This window comes from Homo sapiens, chromosome 10 (assembly GCF_000001405.40).
Source record: "Homo sapiens chromosome 10, GRCh38.p14 Primary Assembly".
NCBI lineage: Eukaryota > Metazoa > Chordata > Mammalia > Primates > Hominidae > Homo > Homo sapiens.
Genome location: NC_000010.11, coordinates 96,105,783 through 96,126,886, shown reverse-complemented (window position 1 = coordinate 96,126,886; position 21,104 = coordinate 96,105,783). Strand labels below are relative to the sequence as shown.

General features: G+C 35.5%; 1 pseudogene, besides 2 other annotated features; it reads right to left on the bottom strand.

Moving 5' to 3' along the window:
- Positions 1,758 to 2,343: an enhancer, noted in NCBI's record as "H3K27ac-H3K4me1 hESC enhancer chr10:97884301-97884886 (GRCh37/hg19 assembly coordinates)". NCBI's record gives its function as "activates a minimal SCP1, AML or CMV promoter by ChIP-STARR-seq in naive H9 embryonic stem cells {active_cell/tissue: H9 hESC(naive)}" and the evidence as "EXISTENCE:reporter gene assay evidence [ECO:0000049][PMID:30033119]".
- Positions 2,344 to 2,928: an enhancer, noted in NCBI's record as "H3K27ac-H3K4me1 hESC enhancer chr10:97883716-97884300 (GRCh37/hg19 assembly coordinates)". NCBI's record gives its function as "activates a minimal SCP1, AML or CMV promoter by ChIP-STARR-seq in naive H9 embryonic stem cells {active_cell/tissue: H9 hESC(naive)}" and the evidence as "EXISTENCE:reporter gene assay evidence [ECO:0000049][PMID:30033119]".
- On the bottom strand, positions 14,037 to 14,138 carry RNU6-271P (RNA, U6 small nuclear 271, pseudogene; annotated as a pseudogene).

Below are 21,104 nucleotides of genomic sequence, written 5' to 3'. Positions count from 1 at the left end.
TAGAAAAAGAAAAAAGAATTAAGTGGAATACTTGTTAATTACATTTAAGAACAAACCTGGTACACATATATGTTATATATACTCCTTTATTTCTCTTGTATATGCATAGAACATTTCATTATTTAAAGTTTTAAAAGAATAAAAATGTATAGGGTTTTTCTTTTCTTTTTTGTTAGTGCAGATTAATTTGTTTTTTTTGTCTAAAGTAGTTTAAAAGATAAATTTGATTTCTGTGAGATCAATGCCATATGGACTATGTTAATACCAATAAATTATACTTGAGAACTTGTAAAAGTAGATTATTATGGCTCATTACATCTTAAGGCAAACTTTTAATAAAAGTTTGATGGTTCATGGGGTGTCCAGCAACAGATATAATGAAAAAAAAAAAAAAACTCAACCCTGATACATTATAATGAAATTGAAGAATATCAAAGACAAAGCGGAACTTCTAAAAGTTTCCAGAGATAAAAAGATCACTTATACAGAACAAGAATCAGATTGAGATCATGTAGCTATCACAGCACCAGGCATTGTATCCTCCCTCAGCAGTATATTAAGCAGGAAGAAGTGAGAAAAAGCAAAAAAAAAAAAAAAAAAGATCTTCTCACACTCTTTCAAATTTTACTGGAGAGAACAACCTTTTCTAATGAACTTCTTATATTTCATTTGCCAACATGGAATCACATACTCATCTCTAGAACAAATTGATGGTAAAGAAAAACAGCATTGTTGTAATTGACTCAAACCAATCATGATTTATACCCTGGGACTCGGCAAATTGACAACTGAGCAAAATAGTAGTTCTGACTAGCATGGAGGAAGGATGAATAACTTTTGGTTGGCATATAAAAATGTTTGACATCTGTCAATATCACAAAAAAATGGGAGAAAACCAGTCATTATGGGAAAACAAGAGTGCCTATAGTATTACCAATTCACAGGAATTACAGAGGTCAGTGGAACATACTAAACTACACAATGAGCACAATCAACTTTGTGAAACTGTATAAGACAAATGACCTGTTTTTTCAACCAAACAAAAAATTGGACAGAAAAAAGAGATGAAAGAGAAAACCTATAGATTAAAAGAGACTTAAATTGTGTATCAATCAATCATCATGTGTGGAAGTTACTTGGATTCTGATTCAAGCAAATAGACAAAAACACATTTATGACATGTATGAGACAACTGGAAATTTGAAAACAGGATATTTGATTATATTAAGTTGTTTTGTTAATTTTTAGATGTAATATATTTGCTGTTATGTCTTCAAAGTTTATCATTTAAAGATACATGCTGAAATATTTACAGATGAAATAGAAGACCACATTTCATGTATGTCCACAAGTTATAGGTCTTCACTTTAACTGATCCTGTCACCAAGATGACCGATGTTCTTTAAAGACAAGAAAGCAGAGATATGGCAAAAGGAACTGACCCTCTGGACAAAATGCAGAGATTCAACAAATTTAAATGAAAAATGCCCCTACGTAGACAGAAATTACCTCACTCCCTTTTTTTTCCCATCTCCCCAACCTCCTCAGGCAGCTGAGTAACTGAAAAATAGAAACTATCAACATCCAGCTCCTAGCTTAAAGTCTGACACAATAATTCAAACAGTTGCTAGATAAACAGGAAAGGGAGTTAAGAGGACTGGGCCTATACAATTATTGACACAGAAAGATTAATTTAAAAAATAATAATAAAAATCACTAATAAAACTCATGGGGTACAGATAAATAAAATTTCTTCCCCTCCAAAAAACAAAACCAAACCAAAAAGAATTAAGAAGAAAAGTTTTTAGGAGAGGATTCTGGGAAGATGGCAACATAGGAAGCAGCAGGAATCTATCAACAAGTGGTACTGGCAGGATATGTCTGATGTAACTATTTTGGAACTCTGACATCTGTAGAAGGCTTGCAAGGTAAATTGCAGTTTCTGTCAATTTCAGCTCTTAGCTTCGCAATAGCTACCATCCCCCACCCTGTAGCCTCCAGCCAGGCAGCTGTGCACTTCTTCCTGGAGTCCCTTGCTTGCAGTTTGCTGGGCTTGGGTGGCAATAAGGAGCAAGTACTCATCCTCCAAATACTGGGGATCTGTGTTCTGACTGCTGATTGCTACTTCTGATCCTAGGAGTGTCCGCACAGAGGTGGACAGCCATTGTTGCACCACCACCACCCAACCCCTCCTCCAAGGTGGCAGGCAAGTCCCTCCCCCTCAGGCTGAAGCAACTGCCAGGAGACTTAAAGGGCCAGCGCCTTTTTCCTCTCCATTTTCCGTTTTGCCCTTTTGGAAGCCAAACATTAAAGACTAGGACATTCAAAGGCAACTGCATATCCAGGGGAAATAAGAAAGTCACCACACATGCCCAGGAAAAGACACAGGCTCAGAAAACACCTGAGGAGACCCTAGGTTTACACCTTAGGTTGATCCTTGGCTTGGCATGAGTACAGCCTACAACAACCAAAACTCAAACAACAAAAAACAGCAAACCCTGTGGGAATGTGGAGGACTTTGACTAGCAGCTGCCACATTATTAGATTCCAGTGGCCAACTTTCAACAAAGAAATCACAAGGCATACAAAGATATAGGAAAGTATGACACAATCACAGGGAAGAAATAAACAAAACAAAAATTGCTCTGCAAGAAATGCTAAAGAGAGTTCCTGCAGTTTGACATAAAAGGACACTAGACAGTAACTCAAAGTTATATGAAAACATAAAGCTCTTAATGAAGATAAATATATGGGCAATTATTAAAGCTAGTTTTATGGTAACAATAACTTGGTTTTTTGTTGGTTTGTTTTTTAAGACCAGGGTCTCGCTCTGTGGCCCAGGCTGGAGTGCAGTGGCATGATCTCAGCTCACTGCAACCTTGACCTCAGGCTCAGGTGATCCTCCCACCTCAGTCTCCAGAGTAGCTGGGACCGCAGGCATGTGCCACCATGCCTGGCTAATTTTTTGTATTTTTTGTAGAGATGGAGTTTCGCCATGTTGCCCAGGCCGGTCCCAAATTCCTGGGCTCAAGCTACCTGCCCGCCTCAGCCTCCTAAAGTACTGGGATTACAGCCATGAGCCACCACGCCAGGCCAACAGTGACTTGCAATTCGACTTTTTTTTTTTTTTTAAAGACCGTGTCTCGCTCTGTCGCACAGGCTGGAGTACAGTGGCATGATCTCTGCTCACTGCAACCTCTGCCTCCCGGCTTCAAGCGATTCTCCTGCCTCAGCCTCCCAAGTAGCTGGGAGTACAGGTGCCCACCACCATACCTGGCTAATTTTTGTATTTTTAGTAGAGAAGGAGTTTCACCATATTGGCCAGGCTGGTCTCGAACTCTTGACCTTGTGATCCGCCCGCCTCAGCCTCCAGAGTGCTGGGATTATAGGTGTGAGTCACCGCGCCCAGCGTAACTCCACTTTTTGTTTTCTATGTGATTTAAGAGACTAATAAATTAAAAAACAATTATTGGTCTAAAAGCTAGTATTCTTATAACTTTGGTTTGTAAATCCATATTTCATTTTCTACATAATGTAAGAGACTACTGAATTTTAAAAACCAGTGACTAGTTTATCTTTTCGGATGCACAATATATAAAGATGTAATTTTATGACATCAATAATAAAAAGAGGTGGACATGGAGCTGTAAAGGAGCAGACTTTTTGTATGCTATTGGAAGTTAATCTGGTATAAATTCACATTAGAGTGTTATAACTTTAAGATGTTAAATATAATCCCCATGGTAACCACAAAAATAATTATAGAATATACACAAAAAGAAATGAGAAGGGAATTAAAACATTTCACTATAAAAAGTCAACTAAAGATAAAAGAAAACTGTAAGGCAGGAAATGAGAGACAAGAAAGTTATGAGTCATATAGAAAACAAAGCAAAATGACATAACAAGTCCCTCCTTATCAGTAATTACTTTAAATATAAATAAATTAAACTCTCTAATTAAAAGACAGAAATTGGAAGAATAGATAAAAATACATGATCCAACTGAATGCTGTCCACAAGAGACTCACTTTAGATTCAAAGACACAAATAGGTTGAATGTGAAAAGATGGAAAAATACATTTCATGCAAATAGTAAAAATAGAATTACCATATGATCTAGCAATTTCACTTCTGAGTATATACCTAAAAGAATTAACAACAGAATCCTGAGGAGATATTTGTATACTGTGTTCATAGCAGCATTATTCACTATAACTAATAGAAAACATAAAAAAGTAAAACCTAACATCCAGGTAATAGGAGCCCCTCTTTTCCATGAAGAGAAATGAGAAGAAATTATTAAACAAATACAATAAAATGCCCTAGAACTGGAGGATATCACTTTCCATACTGAATTTCACACTGAATGTCACCAAAATGACAACGCTAAGATACATCACTATAGATTTTAGAACATCAGGATATAAAGAGCCTAAAATCTTACAGAGAGAAAAGAGAGGTCACATGCAAAAGATTGTAAATAAAAATAAAATCAGATTTCTCAACAATTACACAAATAACTAGACAACAATGGAGTAATACCTTTAAATTCTAAGGCAAATTAAACAATTAAACATAAGAGTAGAATCAAGACATTTTTAGGAAGGGAAATGCTCTAAAACAGCTTTCTTGCACTTTTTCCCAAAAAGGTAATGCTTCACTAAAATTCAGGGAGTAAATCAAGAAAGAGTAAAACTCAGAAATCAGATAATAGGAAGTGTAAGTCAGGAGAAAGTGTAAGAAAATCTCAGAATAATAGAAAAAGGAAGTACCAGGAACAAAACAAAATTATCCACTGGCTCTTCAGGGAACTGTGTTAGCCTCAATTTACTCTAGAACAGAGGCCTGTCATCTGTAATATAAAATCTTGTTTCACCCTGAGGGACTGGGGTAGGCTAAGAAAGACAACTTAAAAATAATTAAATGAGGAAGAGTGAGCAGAGAGCAAGAGCAAGAGTGAGAGAGAGAAAGAAAGAATGCCCGGGCGGGGTGGCTCACGCCTGTAATCCCAGCACTTTGGGAGGCCGAGGCAGGCGGATCACAAGGTCAGGAGTTCAAGACAAGCCTAGCCAAGATGGTGAAACCTCGTCTCTACTAAAAATACAAAAAAATTAGCCGGGCGTGGTGGCGGGCGCCTGTAATCCCAGCTACTCAGGAGGCTGAGACGGAGAATTGCTTGAACCCTGGAGGCGGAGGTTGCAGTGAACCGAGATGGCGTCACTGCACTCCAACCTGGGCAACAGAGTGAGACTCTGTCACAAAAAAAAAAAAAGAAAGAAAGAAAAGAAGAAAGAAAGAGAAAGAGAGGAAGAGAGAGAGAGACAGGAAGGAAGGAAGGAAGGAAGAAAGGATAAACTTCCTACTCAAATTGACTCTGCAAATTTAACTCCAAACCCCATAAAGTAATCTAATGCTATGAAAGTAGCCAATAAATCAAACTTCAGAATGTAAGTTCACTCCAGAAGAAACTAAACTGTCTTACAAAAAGGTAAACGAAAAAATGGTGTTATTAAAAACAGCAAGCAATGAATTAATAAGCAGGCAGAAATGAAGCACAAGTAGAGTGATATTTTAACAGAATGTATTAGAATTATAATTAGAAATCTTGGAAATAAAAAAATATAGCCATTGAAATATTATAAGTTAACAGATGGAATAAAGCCTACAGTGGTTATAATAAAGAGAATCAATGTGAAAATAGCCCTGAGGAAATGCAGTAAGGAGAAACAAACACATTGAAACACATGAAAGAGCTTTTAATAGACATGGAGAATAGATTGAGTGTTTTCAACATACACCTGTTATAGGAGTGCATGCAAGTGTGTTAATGGAAGAAAAGCAGTATTGGAACAGATAAAGGCTAAACATGTTTCTGAATTGGAGAAAACACAAGATTCCTCTGGGGTGGGCGGCAGGGATGGCAGGGAGGTGGGGATAGTTAATGGGTACAAAAAAAATTGTGAGAAAGAATGAACAAGACCTAGTATTTGATAGCACAACAGGAGGACTATAGTCAATAATAACTTAACTGTACATTTTAAAATAACTAAAAGAGTATAATTGGATTGGTTGTAACACAAAGGAAAATGCTTGAGGAGATGGACACCCCAATTTCCATGATGTAATTATGAATTGCATGCCTGTATCAAAATATATACATGTACTATGTTCCCACAAAAATTAAAAATTAAAAAAAGAATAAATTGTAACAAAAAACATAAAAAGAAAAGAATCCCCATTTGAAAATGTGCTACAAGCACTGGGTAGGATAAATAAAAACATACCTGGATACACCATAGTAAAATTACCAAAATAAAAAAAGTAAAGAGAATTCTTTTTTAAGTCACCAGCAAGAAAAGACAGATTAAATACAAAAGAATTAGACTAAAAACAGAATTTTTCAATACCTCATAAATATTATAAGACAACATCATAATTTTTTTAAGTGGTGAGAGAAGATGACTGTATATAGGATATCAAAGCTAGCTGAACTATTGTTATAAGGGCAATTTTAAAGATATTTGCCATCACATTTAAAGAGTAAGTAAATTTACCTCCAAATATTCTCTGCAAAGGAATATTAAATAATGAACTTCAGCCAGAAGGTAAGTAAATCAAGAGGAAAAGTATAAAATATAGCAGAAATGTTGAGTTCTGAAACTTACAAAATATGTGAGACAATTAATGGATTCTTCAAGAAAACATTTTCTAATCTTCGAGAAAAGTTGAAGCTAAAATGCTATGCAACAATTACAAGGTTTAGAGTTGGTCTTGATGCTCAGTGGATAAAAGTCATGTGGTATTCAGAAGAAAGATAGAAATATTGGGTAATCACATGTTGGCTCACACCTGTAATCCCAGCACTTAGGGAGGCCGAGGCGGGTGGATTACTTGAGGTTAGGAGTTCAACCATCCTGGCCCATGTGGTGAAACCCCGTCTCTACTGAAAATACAAAAATTAGCCAGGCGTGGTGGCACACACCTGTAATCCCAGCTACTTGGGAAGCTGAGGCGGTAGAATCACTTGAACCCAGGAGGCAGAGGTTGCAGTGAGCCGAGATCAAGCCACTGTATTCCAGCCTGGGCAACAGAGCGAGACACTCTCAAAAAAAAAAATAAAATAATAAAATAAAAATTGAGTAATTACAGACATTGTTAGAAAAATTTATATGTAGTTATGTACATCAAATATTAAGGGTTCCTGTTAAAAGAACAGAAATGTATTCTATAGCTTCTAAGCCAAGAGAGGAATCAAAAGGCAATACATTTTGTTTCTCAATCCAATCTAAGGAAGGAAAAAATAAAGACACAGTGATAAAAGATGGTAAACAGAAAATGTAAATGTAAATATTATGATAAACATAAGTTCATCAATCATTTTAACACAGTAAGCTTACCTATTGAGACAGATAGATCCTCAGAATATATCTCAAAAACAAATTCCATCACTGTGTTGCTTACAAGAGAAAATAAAAAAACTATAAAGTTTGAAAGTAAAAGTTAGATAGATACACCAAGAAAATATTAAACTAATGGAAAACGGCGTTACCAAACCAAACCGGGCTAGTTTGCCTGTGCAACACAAAGCCAAACACGGAAGCACCAGGTTTTTGCAACGTGAAAGGGTTATTGTGACTGGACTGGCAAGTAGACGGGAGGAGGAAACACTCAAACCTGTTTCCCCAAGCTGGGGGTTGGGCCAGGTTTTTGTTTTGTTTTGTTTTGTTTTTTGTTTTGTTGTTGTTTTTCAGACGGGGTCTCGCTCTGTCGCCCAGGCTGAAGTGACACTCCCAAGTAGCTGGGATTACAGGAGCATGCCACCACGCCCCGCTAATTTTTGTATTTTTTTGTAGAGCCGGGTTTCGCCACATTGTCCAGGCTGGTCTAGAACTCCAGGGTTCCAGCGATGCACCCACCGCGGCTTCCCAAAGTGCTGAGATTACAGGCATGAGTCCCCAGCGCCCAGCCTGGGTCGGGTTTTTTTAAGTATAGGATAATGAGAGGTGATCCGATTGGATCTTGCAATGAGTTGCTGCTGGGGGTCATGATGTCAGTGGTGTCTGCTTCTTAATTTAGTCCCTGTTCCTTGGTCTGAGCATTTAGGTTCCACCAGTGGTTGCACACTTGGTTCATCTGCGCATGCTCAGGTTACATGACTTTGAACCTGGGAGGTCCATAGCAACTGAAAAGCAATTCACAACCTCGTTACATAAAAGTTGAACCCAATTGGTCTGGTTCAGTTACAATAGGTTAAAAATACTAGTATGAGTCCAAAATATCATTTAAAGACAAAAGCTTTAATAAGGATTGAAAATAGTCACTGCATAGTAATAATAAAAGGAGCTATTAATGAATAAGGTATCATAATCCTCAACTTATAATTAACAATATAAGATTGGAATTTATAAAGTAAAATCTAACAAAAGAAAAAAATTGAGACATCTACAATCATAGAGGAAGATTTTAATACACCTTTTTTAGAAACTGATAGGGCAAGCAGATTAAAAAATTTGTGAGGATATAGAAGATTTCAACAACAAAATCAGTAAGCTTAAACTAATTTATATACTCCTGCACTTAAGCTGACAATAGATAAATGGAATATTTACAAAACTTGAACACTTTTTTTCAACACCTTTCCTAGAATCAACACCATGCAAACTAGAGATTGTAAAACTAGGACAAAATAACAATATAGAAAGAGTTGTGTCTTATTTCATATAGTATTGAAATATTAGTGACGATGGGTGTTTTCTTTAAAATTTCCAAGATTAATAAAAGTTTTAAAATAGAAAAGCTAAATATTAAGCACATTTCAAACATAACTTGAAAACATATAAAACAGCATTGCAAAACACATTTTTTTTTTTTTTTTTTTTTTTTTGAGACGGAGTCTCGCTCTGTCGCCCAGGCTGGAGTGCAGTGGCGCGATCTCGGCTCACTGCAAGCTCCGCCTCCCGGGTTCACGCCATTCTCCTGCCTCAGCCTCCCAAGTAGCTGGGACTACAGGCGCCCGCCACTACGCCCGGCTAATTTTTTGTATTTTTAGTAGAGACGGGGTTTCACCGTTTTAGCCGGGATGGTCTCGATCTCCTGACCTCGTGATCCGCCCGCCTCGGCCTCCCAAAGTGCTGGGATTACAGGCGTGAGCCACCGCGCCCGGCCTGCAAAACACATTTTTAAACATGCCTATCACTCAAATAAAATTTTTAAAGCAATAACTAAAAATAACACATTAAAAATACTGAAGCACTACCCCAAAATGGATAAAAGTTTATTTAAAATGAAAGGTAAAAAATGAAGTAATATTTGATGATTTTTAAAAAATGCAATCTTCAAAACAAAGTGTGTGTCAATGGTGTGTCAACGGTAACATCCTTGAGTTGCAAATACATTTTGTGTACATTTATTCTGGCTGTTTCTTCTCTCTTTTTTTTTTTTTTTAAAAAAACCCTCGTATCCTAGGACCAGCTATTTCTTCTTGTGTCTATTTTATTGTTATATTTTCCTAGATTTTGTCCAGTTTTTCTTAAATGGCAAATTTACTGACAATACAATTTAATCATTTTCCCATCTGTAGGATATATTTTGATATCCCCTTATACATTGCTGATATTATTTGTGATTTCTCTGTCTTTCAAAATCATTATCCCAGAGATATTTCTTTTTCTTTTTTTTTCTTTAAGTCATTTTAAATAACCAAGCTTTTGGGTAAGTTGATCTTCTATATTTAATATTTGTTTTCTATTTTATTCACTTCTGCTATTTATATTATTTCTTCTTTGTATATCCTTTGGTTTAATTTGTTACTTGGTACCTAGTTTCTTGACAGGAATCTCTAACTGATTTCAGTCATTCTCCTTTCTTACACATGCAAAGTTATAAATTTCCCTCCAACACTACTTTAGCTATATCCTACAGTTTTTGATTTGCAGTATTTTAATTAACATTGAATTCAAACTATTTTTAAATTTCCATCGTGATTTCTTTTTAACATGGGCTACTTTGATATGTATGGTTTAATTTCTAAACACATGGTGTTTCTTTCCTTTTCCTCTTCTACTGTTTACTTCTGTGTGTTGTTTTTGTATTGATCTCAAACTCAGTTCCCTTGTGATCAGGAAACATGTATTCCACAATTTCAATTCTTTGAACTGTATTGAGATTTGTTTTATAGCCTTGGATATGGTCAATATTTATAAATATTTCACGTGCTCTTGAAAAGAATGTGTATTCCATGGTAATGGGTATAGTGTTCTGTGCATGTCTCTTAGGTGCATTTAAATCATTGTTTTTACTCCTATATCTTCATTGATTTTCAAAAATTTTTTGTCTGTTTATTTTTTCACTTACTGAGAGAAGTATCTTTAAAACTCCCAGTATGATTGTTGATGTGTCTCTTTTTCCTTGTTGTTCTGTTATTTTGCTTTATGTGTTTTGAGACAATGTTATTTATGCACATATAATTTTAAAATTATTATATCTTCCTGATAAATTAGTTTTATCTTAATGAAATAGGGCTGTATTTCTAGTCAGACATTTTTTTCTTGAATTTTACTTTATCTGAGAGTGATATATATCTATACCAGGTCTCTTTAAGTTAGTGTTTACATGACATGACCTTTTATCTTTAAGCTTTTCTTTCATTACAGTTTGTCTCTTACAAACAGCAGATCATAGTTTCTCTTCCTAAGAAAACGGTTTGCTCCTAGCTGGACAATACAGATCATTTATACTTAATATAATTAGGTAGGGATATATGTGAACTTAAATCTACTATCTATTTTTTTGTTTTTTCTACCTCTTCCACGATCATTTTTCTCCTTTTCTTTTCTTCTTTTGGATTGATTAGATGTTTTATTATTCCTTTTATCAGTTTTGTAGTAATCTCTTCTTTACTTGTCTTTAAGTGCTTTATTATAGTTTATATTATTTACCCATGGCTTATTAATATCTAATGTACATCAGTACTTTTTCTTTTTTCTTGTCAATGAAGAGAACATTTTAACTCAGTTTAATCCCATCTTTCATACTTTATGTGCTATTGTTCACAAATTTTAATTTTCTCTCTATCATAAGCCCCAATAGACATTGTTATTACTGCTTTACATAGACATAATTGCATAATTGATTCAGATTTACTTCTACATGCTTTCCTAATATCTTGCAACTCCAAGCTTCCATCTGGGATCCTTTCTCTTCTGCTTGCGGGGGTGAGGGGGGAAACACTTGATCTTTTAGTGTAGGTTTGCTGGTGATAAAGCTTTTTGTTTGTGTTTTCTTGAAATGTACTTATTTCACCTTCATTACTGAAAGATAGTTTCGTTTGTTATGGAATTCTAGGTTGGCAGTTATTCTCTTGTACCACATTGAAGATAACTTTATGGTGCCTCTGACTTTCATTGTTTCTCTTGAGGAGTCACAGCTATCTATTCAATTTTTGTTCTGTTGAAGATAATATGTGTTTTTTATCTTTATATGAACAGAATTTTGCTTTTAAAAATTTCCCTGTCTTTGATTTTAGCAGTTTGGTTCTTATGTCATTTCATATATTTATCCTTCATGTTGTTTTTCAGAGAAAAACCCCCTCGGTTTTGGAAAAAAATTATGTTATTAGCTATTTATAGCTGCATTTAAAAATTACCTTCAAAGCTTAGCAGGTAAAACCAATAAACATTTATTATCAAGCTGGGCACTGTGATGTATGCCTGTAGTCCCAGCTGCTCAGAAGGCTGGGGCAGGAAGATCGCTGAGCCTAGGAGTTCAAGGCCAGCCTGGGCAACATATACTCCGTCTCTTAAAAAAATAAAAATACATTTATTATCTCATAGCATTTATGTTGGAGGGACCTAGAAGCAGCTTAGCTAGGTGTTTCTGACACAGAGTCTCACATGAGATAGCAGTCAAGATGCTTGCTAAGACTGCAGTCATTTAAAGGCTTGACTAAGGTTGAAGATCCACTTCTAGGGTGTCTGATTCAGTGCTGACTATTAGCAGGTGGTCTCAATGCAATGTCACATGGACTTCTCCGTTGGGCTGGTTGAGTATACTCCTAGCATGGCAGTTGATTTCTACCAAAGCAAGTGATCTAAAAGAACACAAGATGGAAGCCACATTGTCCTTTATTATATTGTCTCAGAAGTATGAGTTACAGAGGCCAGCTGTATTCAGAATGAGAGGGGACTACCCAAGAGTTTAATACCAAGAAACAAAAATCACTGGAGGTCATCTTGGTGGGTAGCTACCACATTCCACCTTCTCTAACCCAATTATTCATGTCCCTCTCATATGAAAAAATAGTCACCCTCAAAAGTTTTAATCCATTACAGCACGAGCTCAAAGTACAAAACTTTATATTGGGTCCAGATATGGGTAAGTCTTCTTGGGTGTAGTTCTTTCATAAAAGCTCAAGTATGGTTCCTTTCAATCTGAAGTCATATGAACTAAAGTGACAAGTTATTAGTGTCTCCCATGTCAAACAGTATGGTGGCACAGGCAAAGGATAACTGCTATAGATGCTCCTGTTTAAAAGGATGGGGGAAGTCCACAGCAAATCTGAAATTCACCTGGACAAATTTTTAAAGTCCTTGATCGGAATTCACTGCTAATCCTGCACAGGAACAATTCTCCATATCTCTTGGCTCTACCATCTGGGCTCTTGATTCTTTTCTTTGAGTTATTCTTCCTTTTTCATGAAACACTATCATTGGTTTTGGTTGCATGATTTTCTTGGCCTATTTCATGCCTATAAATGTTTCCAAATCCAAGGACTTATTTTCCTTTTTGCTATTTCTGACCCATTAAGTCCAAGCTAGTGGTGTTTCCACCAATATAAGTATCTTTAAAACTTTGTGGGTATTCTGTGAAAGTTCTTGGATTTACTCTACTAAGCAAAAGCCACACCCACAAATCTCATTGAAGTGATCCCTTTTCTACACTGGGCTTCCACTGATGCTGCTGGGGACAGCACACCTAAGAGTCACATAACCTTTATTCTCTGATTAAAAGTATCTAAAGTATCACCTTGGATCCTTCTGAGATCTTTAAAAGGATTTTACAGGCACACTCTCAGCTTCATCTGTTAGACCAGGTTTTTCTCAAAGTGCCTTAAATTTGACTTTTGTCTGGAAGCCATTTGTTAATTTCAGCATTCTGTGTCATTTGGAGAGGCTGAGAATGTTCAAATCCAGTGATTTCTGGCTTCTCTCACTCAACTTTTTAAAAACAGTTCTATTTTTTGCTTATTCTCGCCTTTCACATTTTACTATAAGCAAAATGAAGAATCAAGGAGGCACACAATACTTTGCCTGAAAATTCTTTTTAGCTAGATCACGTAGCTCATCTGGTATGTTTGCTACTTTCCATGTTACTGCAGGTACTAGTTTTGCTAAACTTTGTTTTTACATAAGGAAGATTTCCTTTCCTCCAATATTCAGCAAAATTTACCTCCCTTTCATTTTAAGTCCTCACCTGCAGTTTCCTAAAATGCCATCAGGTTTCTAGTAACAAACACCTAAAGGCTCTTCAAGGTTTTCACCATTTTATGTTCCATATATTGCCTAGTTCCAAAGCCATTACATTTTAGGTTTCTGTTACAGCAGCACTCCAACTCCAGGCCTCAAAAATCTGTATTTGTTATTTGTCACTGCATGCAAATTAGCCCGGACTTAGTGGCATAAGACAATCAACAGTTACTATCTCCTACAGTTTTTTTAGGGTGAAAAACCTGGGAGTGGCTTAATGATTATGGCTGTGACTCAGGGTCTCTCTTTTTTTTTTTATTTTCATAATTGAGATTTTATTGGTTGAGAATCAGTACAGACATTTCAATTTGTACACAATTCTTAACATATGTAATGAAATTTTAAAAAGCCATGCATGTATTGTAATTCTTTTTAAAAGTTATTCCAGTGACTTTCCAGCTTAAAATTTGGAAGCAAATTTTCCTTAAGAGGCTATCAAGTACCAATATCTTCACATGTTGGTCAGCTGTTACACACGGCCCACCAGTTCACAACTGAATAGCACATACAAAAAATATGGAACGCTTCACGAATTTGCGTGTCATCCTTGCACAGGGGCCATGCTAATCTCTGTATCGTTCCAAGTTTTAGGATATGTGCTGCCAAAGCGAGCGTGACTCAGGGTCTCTCTTAAGGTTGAATACCAGAAGACAGCTAAGAATGCAGTTATCTGAAAGTTTGACTGGGCCTGGAAGATCTGCTTCCAACATAGCTTACTCAATTGGCTGCCAAGTTAGTACTGTTTTTTGGCAATAGGCCTCAATTCCTGCCACATGGATCTCTCCACTGGGCTACCTGAATGTCTTCATGACATGAAAGTTAGCTTCTCTGAGAAAGTGATCTGAGAGAGCAAGATGGAGAGTGAAATATCCTTTATGCCTGGCCTTGGAAAGCACACTCCATCCTTTCTGCACTCTTTTATTGGTTATACAGATTAGCCCTCTGCAATGTGGGAGAAAACTATATAGGAGGAGAGAATACCAGGAGGCAAAAATCACTGTGGAAATCTCTGAGCCTGGAGATCACTTTTCAGTTTTGGGAAAATCTCAGCCATTATGTCTTCAAACATTATTTCTGTACCATTCTCTTGCTCCTCCTTTTCTGGGACTCCAATACAAACATGTTATACAATATGCAATGCCTTCTCATTTTATTCCCTAGCCTCTTAAACTTTTCTAAATATTTTCTTTTTTCTCTTGGTATCTTATTCTTCTGATGTTTTTCTCTGACATATCTTAAAGTTTACTAGTTAATTTACTAATTATTTTCTTCTTTTGGATGACTCAAGTATTTTTATTTTATTTCCCCTTATTAGTTTATTATGCAGTCCTAGTATTTACATTATATATTCTTGACTTGTTAGAGCCCCTATGAAATTAGTAATTTTATCTCTTCACAAACAATGAAAGAGCTTTACAAATTTTAAATCCATTTACCCCCCCAGTTTGTACTACTGTTGTCATAGATTTCATTTTATAAATATTTTAAGCCCAAGGCATTATTTTTGTCATTTGATAAAGTCAATATTCACTCTAATATACCTACATATTTACTCTTCACAGCACTCTTTATTTCTTTTTCTATTCTGTACTTCCACCTGGGACCATTTCTTTTCTCTTTGAACAACTCCCTTTAATATTTCCCTTAGTGAAAATCTGCTGGCAATATATTCTTTCAACTTCTTTGCCTGAAAATATCGTTATTTTGCTTTTTAATTTTTTTAATTGTGAAGAAATTTTTGCCAGTTGTAGAATTCTAGCTTTATGGATAGTTTGTTCCAACAACTTAAAGACATTGCTCTATTGTTTTCTGACTTCCGTTGATCCTATTGAAAAGTCATTTATCTGGCTTCCCTCACTCAACTGCCCATTTGAAAGAAACATCTCATTTTTCTCAGGTTGCTTTTATAATTTGCTTGTCTTTGACTATGCCGATCCCAAGTGTGATTGTATTTATCTTACCTATGGTTCTTAGAGAGATTTTCAAATCTGTGGTTTGATATATTTCAAAAATGTTCTCAGCCAACATATTCTGAAATACTGCTACTATTCTATTCTCTCTCCTCCTATTCTGTGATTTATACACAAGTCAGAAGATGTCACCATGTTCTATATATTCTTAACTTTGTTATGTATTTTCCATCCTTTTTTCTCTGTGCTTTAATCTTGATAATTTCTGGTCATATGTCTTCCAGTAAAAATATCCTGTTTTGATATGTCAAATCTGCTATTAAACACATCAACTTATTTCTTAATTTTAGTTATAGGTTATTTTCAATTCTAAAACTTCCATTTGACCTTTTAAGTAGATTCCAAGTGTCAGCTGAAATTCCGTCTTTCCCTTTGTTCTACTGACTATCTTAATCATTGTTTTTAGAAACATTTTTTCTCTTTTTTCTTTTTGATCAGCAATTAAACATGGATCATTATTATTTTAAAGTCTCTGTCTGCTAACTTCAATATCTGAATCACTGTGAGGATATTTCTACCATCTGTTTTAAATTTGTTTTTTCGTTATGTGGTCCTTCTTATAGCATGCCTCATAATTTTTACTGAATGCCAGACCTTGTGTATTAAAACTGTAAAAGGTTTAAATAATGTTTTCTCCTTCCTAAGTCAGTTTTCTTCTGACAGATGGGACAGATTATCTTAATTCTATATAGGCCTGGTTTTAGGCTTTGTAAAAGATGATTCAGTTTTTTGTTTTGTTTGTTTTTTGCCCTTACTCCTAGGATATGGCTTTCTGTGGTATCTTCTAAAAGTCTGTGGTATTTATATAGTTTTTCCACCTTTGCCAATCTTTTTAACTTGAACCTCTGTGTCCCTACCACCCCAAAGCTACTGAAATCCCTGTTCAGCTCTTTAGCCTCAAAGATGCTTCTTTATCTGGATTTCTTGAACTTTCATCTTGTGCATGTAAAGCTTAGCAACTGGCAAATGTCTTGAGGGAAGATGACATGCAAGTTTTGGATATACTTGCCTTGATTTTCTCTGCTCTGATATTTTGTCTCTCAATTTCTATTTGTTTGTCTCCTCAGCCCAGTGGCACTAGTGCTTTTTGTTTGAATCTATCTTGTCTAATCATCTATGTTAAAAATTGCAAATTTCCCTCAGGTAAAATTCCAAGAGTCTATCAAAACTGGCCAGAGAAGTTAACAAAGTACCAGGTAGAATTTCCAAAAAACAAAAACATAGTAATTGAAAATTAAAACTCAGGAACTGGACTAAACTAAGTATTAAAAACACATGAAAAAGTAAGTGAAAGATAGATCTGGAAACATTTCCTGAGTGCAGCATTGAAAGTCGAAGGGATGAGAATAATGAAAAGGATGTAAAATACATAGAAGAAAGACTGGGAATTTCAACACGTGTCTAATCAGAGTTCTAGTAGGAAAAAAAAATGCCGGAGAGGCAGTATTTGAAGAAATAACCACTAAAAATCGCTATAATTGATTAAAAGGTACCGTGACCAAGTGGGATTTATACAAACTATGCAAGGCTGATTCAGTATTTGAAAATCAATTACTGTTATATCCATCAAATCAACAGGCTAAAAAAGAAAAATTATATAGTCCTATCAATAGATGCAGAAAAAACATCTGACAAAATCCAATACCTATTCATGATAAAAACTCTCAGCAAACTAGGATAGAAGGGAACTTCTCAACTTGATAAAGAACATCTACAAATACCATAGCTGACATCATACTTAATGATGGTAAAGTAGATGCTTTTCACTAAAATTAGGAATGAAGCAAAATTGTTCCCTCTCACCACTTCTGTTCAATATTATATTGAAAATCCTAGGTAATTCAGTAGGTCAAAGAAAGAAAAGAAAAAAATATACAGATTGAGAAGGAACTAATGAAGTTTTCTTTGCTTACAGATAACGTATTTATCTATGTATAAAATCTCAAATAATTGACCAAAAAATGCTAGAACTAATAAGTGATTAGAGCAAGGTTACAGGATACAATGTTAATTTACAAAAGTCAATTGCTTTCCTATATACCAGCAGTGAACAATTGAAATGTGAAATTAATAACACAATACTAACTTATACCAACCACACTCTTGGACCACAGCACAATAAAAATAGAAATCAATACTGAAATAATCACTCAAAACCACACAGTTACATAGAAATTAAACAACCTTAAGACTGTTCTAAGAAACTTCCAAAAACATGTCACACTTAAAGGAATGGCCATTTTCTCTGAAAGAAACTGCTTTGATAGCCATGATCTTATTGCTAGCTGCTTTTACCAAAAGTCTTTTGTTAAAACTACCACCTACACTCTTTAAACAAGTAAAAACTGAAACCTCTTGCTAAAAAAAGAAAAAAAAAAAGGAAAGAAAGAAAAAGAGAAGAAATTAAACAATCTGCTCCTGAATGACTTTGGGACAAGTAATGAAATTAAAGCAGAAATAAAGAAATTCTTTGAAACAAATAAGAACAAAGATACAACATACAAGAATCTCTGAGACACAGCTAAGGCAGTGTTAAGAGGGAAGTTTATAGCACTAACCACCCACATCAAAAAGTTAGAAAGAGCTCAAATTAACTACCTAACATCAAAATTAGAAGAACTAGAGAAACAAGAGCAAACAAACCCCAAAGCTAGCAGAAGACAAGAAACAACCAAAATCAGAGCTGAACTGAAGGAAACTGAGATGCGAAAAACCATACAAAAGATCAACAAATTCAGGAGTTGGCTTTTTGAAAAAAATAATAAGATAGTTAGACTGCTATCTAGACTAATAAAGAGAAAAGAGAGAAGATCCAAATAAACACAATCGGAAATGATGAAGGGGACATTACCACTGACCCCACAGAAATACAAAAACCTTCAGAGATGCCGACGAACAACTCTATGCACACAAACTAGAAAACCTAGAAGAAACTGATAAATTCGTGGATGCATACAACCTCCCAAGGCAGAACTAGGAAGAAACTGAATCCCTGAACAGACCAATAATGAGTTCCAAAATTGAATCAATATAAAAAGCCTGCCAACCAAAAAAAATGTCTAGGACCAGATGGATTCATAGCTGGATTCTAGCAGATGTATAAAGAAGATCTGGTACCATTCCTATTGAAACTATTCCCAAAAATTGAAGAGGAACTCCTCCCTAACTCATTCTATGATGCCAGCATCATCCTGATACTAAAACCTAGCAGAGACACAACAAAAAAAAGAAAACTTCAGGCCAATATCCTTGATGAACATAGACGCAAAAATCCTCAACAAAATACTAGCAAACCAAAACCAGCAGTGCATCAAAAGCTAATCCACCAGCTTTATCACTGTGATCCAAGATTGGTACAACACATGCAAATCAATAAATATGATTCATCAAATAAATAGAACTAAAAGCAAAATCCACATGATTATCTCAATAGATGCAGAATAGGCTTTTGATAAAATTCAACATCCCTTTGTCAGAGGCATTCAAACCAGATTGACTCCATCTTGAATAGGGGCTGGGTAAAATAAGGCTGAAACCTACTGGGTTGCATTCCCAGGAGGTTAGGCATTCTAAGTCACAGGAAGAGATAGGAGGTCGACACAACATAAAGGTCATTAAGTCCTTGCTGATAAAACAGTTGCAGTAAAGAAGCTAGCTAAAACCCACCAAAACAAAGATAGTGATGAGAGTGACCTCTGGAAGTCCTCACCGCTCATTATATGCTAATTATAATGCATTAGCGTGCTAACAGACACTCCCACTAGTGCAATGACAGTTTACAAATGCAATGGCAACATCAGGAAGTTACTCTAGATTGTCTAAAAAGGAAAGGAATCCTCAGTTCCTGGAATTGCCCACCCCTTTCCCAGAAAACTCATAAATAATCCACCCCTTGTTTAGCATATAATCAAGAAGTAACAATAAGTATCCTTAGTTGAGCAGCTCAAGCACTGCTCTGCCTGTGGAGTAGCCATTCTTTGTTTCTTTACTTTCTTAATAAACTTGTTTCACTTTACTCTATGGACTTGCCCGGAATTCTTTCTTGCATGAAATCCAAGAACCATCTCTTGGAGTCTGGATCAGGACCCCTTTCTGCTAACATTTTCATGTTAAAAACCCTCAACAAACTAGGCATTGAAGGAACATACTTCAAAAGAATAAGAGCCATCTATTACAAACCCACAGCCAACATCACACTGAATGGGCAAAAGCTGGAAGCATTCCCCTTGCAAACCAGAACAAGACAAGGATGCCCTCTCTCACCACTCCTATTCAACATAGTACTGGAAGTCCTGGCCAGAGTAATCATGCAAGATAAAGAAATAAAAGGCATCCAGCTAGGAAAAGAGGAAATCAAACTATTCCTGTTTGCAGACAACATGATTCTATACCTAAAAAATCCCATAGTCTCTGCCCAAAAGCTCCGTAAGCTAATAAACAACTTCAAAGTTTCAGGATACAAAATCAATGTACAATAATCAGTAGCATTCTTATACACCAAAAATATTCAAGCTAAGAACCAAATCAGTAATGTAATCCCATTCACAATAGCAACAAAAAAGAATAAAATACCTAGGAATACAGCTGAGAGGTGAAAGATCTCTACAAGGAGAATTTCAAAATGCTGCTCAAATAAATCAGAAATGACACAAACAAATGGAAAAACATTCCATGCTCATGGATAAGAAGAATCAATATATTGTTAAAATGGCCATACTGCCCAAAGCAATTTACAGATTCAATGCTATCCTTGTCAATCTACCAATGACATTCTTCACAGAATTAGCACAAACTATTTTAAAATCCATATGGAACCAAAAATGAGCCCAAATAGCCAAAGCAATCCTAGGCAAAAAAAAAAAAAAAAACAAAAAAAAAAAACAGAAAACAAAAAACAAACAAACAAACAAACAAACAAAGCTGGAGGCATCATGCTACCCAACTTCAAACAATACTACAAGGCTACAGCAACCAAAACAGCATGGTACTGGTACAAAAACAGACACATAGGCCAATGGAACAGAACAGAGAACCCAGAAATAATGCTGCACCCCCACAATCATCTGATCTTTGACAAAGTTGACAAAAATAAGCAATGGGGAAAGAACTCTCTATTCAATAAATGGTGCTGGGATAACTGGCTAGCTATTTACAGAAGATGTTTGGTTTTCCCAACTTTATATATTCAATGTAATTCAAATAAAAAGCCCAGCAAGCTATTTTGTGGATATCAACAAATTCAAATTTATATGGACAGCCAAGAGACCCAAAATAGCCAACACAATACTGATAAGGCAGAAAAAACTGGAAGAATTAACACTACTTGACTTCAAGGCTTAGCATAAACGTATAGTAATCAAGAAAGTGTAGTATTGGTAAAAGAATAGACAAATTGATCAATGGAACATAATAGGGAGCCCAGAAATAGATTATAGAAATATACTCACCTGATCTTTGACAAAGGAGCAAAGGAGATTCAACGGAGAAAGGCTAGTCTTCTCAACAATTGCTCCTGGAACAACTGGCCATCCACATGTTAAAACAATATATATAGACACTGACTTCACACATTTCACAACTCATAATTCAAAACAGATTATATACCTAAA